Source organism: Homo sapiens, chromosome X (genome assembly GCF_000001405.40).
Source record: "Homo sapiens chromosome X, GRCh38.p14 Primary Assembly".
Classification (NCBI taxonomy): Eukaryota; Metazoa; Chordata; class Mammalia; order Primates; family Hominidae; genus Homo; species Homo sapiens.
In genome coordinates, this window is record NC_000023.11 from 50,831,356 (window position 1) to 50,834,243 (window position 2,888).

Below are 2,888 nucleotides of genomic sequence, written 5' to 3' on the forward strand. Positions count from 1 at the left end.
ACTTTAGCAGAAGTAAAACAAAAGCCTATAGACACAAAGATTGTCAATGCAATATTACTTTTGCTAATGAGAAATGGAAAATAATCTAAATGTTGAGCAATTTGATATATATTAGGGCCTATCAGTAAATGAAATATGAATGATAAAAGATTTACTTTAAAATATTAAATGAATACATTACAAAGCAGTTACAACAATGTAAAATTGTATTATATGGATACAACCTAGAAAGGACTGCAGAAAATGAAAATTCTTATGTTAGGACGTGGGTCAAAGTATAGTCTATTCCTCCACACTCAATGCCTTTGATTATTGATGTCAGAATTAGAAGTTTTAATGTGTGTTTGGGTAGGAGGTGGGGAGTGGGAAGGAGTTGGAGAAGGAATTTCAAATTCCAGCCCTTTTAACTCTATTTCCTGATCATCACCTTAGAAGTAACACCATCTAAGAAATTGACCTAATTTTGTTTTTAAATAAAAAGATATACAGTAGCCATATCCACTCATCCAATCAGACATACATATTCAGTCAGGCTCCCACTTTCCAGTCCTTCCTTTTCTTGTCCCCTTGTGGCATACAGCAGGACATAGGAGCAAACATGCTCATATTTCCATCCCTGAACTGTCACTATCACCTGTGTGACCTTAAGCATGTTACTTTAGCTTATCTACACTAAGGCCTAGTTTGTTCATTTGAATAATGGGGCTAATAATGTTACTTACATTTTGAGTTGGTATGAGAATTAAATAAGTTAATGCATGCAAAATGTTAACATAGTATGCTATTGACTAGATGTTCATGTCCCTTCAAAATTCATATGTTGAAATCCAAAGCCCAATGTGAGAGTATTAAAAGGTGGAGCCTTTTGGAGGTGATTTAGGTCATAAGGAACCCTCATAAATGGAATTAGTGCCCTTATAAACAAGGCTTCAGAGAGCTTTTGCCCCTTCTGCCATGTGAGGGCACAACAAAAAGATGGCCATCTATGAACTAGAAAGCTGGCCCTTACCAGACATGAACCTGCCATCAGCTTGATCTTGGACTTCCCTGCCTCCAGAACTGTGAGAAATAAATTTCTGGGTTTTTTTTTTTTTTCATTTTTGAGACACAGTCTCGCTGTGTCTCCTAGGCTGGAGTACAGTGGTGTGATCATGGCTCATTGCATCGTCAACCTTCTGGGCTCAAGTGATTCTCCCACTTCAGACTCCTGAAGAGCTTGCACCAAAGGCATGCATCAACACACCTGGCTAATTTGTTTATATATTTTTTGTAGAGATAGGGTCTCACTATGTTTCCCAGGCTGGTCTCGAACTCCTAGGTTCAAGCAATCCTCCCACCTCTGCCTCCCAAATTGATGGGATTACAAGTGTGAGCCACTGCACCCAGCCTTCTGTTGTTTATAAGCCACTCAGCCTATGGTATTTTTTATAGCAGCCCAAACAGAATATACACAGTACCTGGTATCATGCAAATGCTGAATAAGTGTTAGTTTCTGGCTATAAAATTGAGATAATACCAGTACCTACCTCAGAGGGTTTATAGGGATTAATTGGGAGAATAAATGTCACACCCCTGGCCAAATAGGTGTTAAATGTATGGTAAGTATCATCATCAAAATTGTTGCACTGGGCAGTCTCTTCCGGTAACAAATTATCAGATAATGGAGGGAGCATTTAATGATCATGCTGATACTGATCAGATTGGTGCCTGGAGAGAAGTACCTGCTAAAAATTTGTCTAAGCAAGCAGTACAAAGCACAGTAATCTGAAGGTCAAGGGGAGCATGAGGTGGTGATTCAGCAGGGAAAACATTTGCAGAATAGAGACAAAGCTCTTTTCAAAACCACGAAGAAACTGGAAAGTAAGCAGGATGGTTAATGCAGATTATAGAAATCTATGGGGCAGCTCCCAAAGAAGTATACTAAGAGGTCAGAGGCAAGTCAGCTAGAAAACCTTAAAAGAAATTTTAGGAGAGTTGAGCAAAAGTGGGAGGTGTGATTTGAGGCTAGAAAAGAACAGGGCTGGCCGGGCGCGGTGGCTCACGCCTTTAGTCCCAGAACTTTGGGAGTCCTAGGCCAGTGGATCACCCAAGGTCAAGAGTTTGAGTCCAGCCTGACCAACATGGTGAAACCTTGTCTCTACTAAATACAAAAAATTAGCTGGGCATGGTGGTGCATGCTTGTAATCCCAGCTACTTGGGAGGCTGAGGCAGGAGAATCACTTGAACATGGGAGGTGGAGATTGCAGTGAGCCAAGATTGCGTCATTACACTCTAGCCTGGGTAACAAGGGTGAAACTCCATCTCAAAAAAGAAAAGAAAAGAAGAGAAAAGAATGGGCCTAATGATAATAGCTAATACAAAATCTGTATTTATTTAGCACTTACTATTTTTCAAGCATTGTGCTAAGCAATTCATGTGCATTATAAAACTTTGTCTTCCTTATCCTATGAGGTAAATTTTTATTATTACCTCTGTAGTATAGTCTAGGCCCACATAAAACCTTATATTATACCAAGCCCCAAAAGAGTGGTTTCTGGAAATAAGTCATTGAATGTGGTTTAGAGGGTCCAAGATTAAATTCATCATCTTTCATCAAGGAATCCATCCTTTGCTCTGTACTTGCCATCATAGCACTACCATCCACTCAGTCACCTACATCAGAAACTTGGGAGTAACTACTGAGTTTTCATTTTTTAGGTAAACCAGTCACTAAGGCCTTCCCATTTTTCTTTCTAAATATTAATACTTCTCAAATCCATCTTTTCTTCTCTATCTTCTGTAGGGTCCTCATCTTCCCCTACCTGGAGTATGCTAGTAGTGTCCTATCTGGATTCCCTGCCTCTAGTTTTGACTTCCTTGTAATTTATCCTACAAAGATTGCTTTGTAG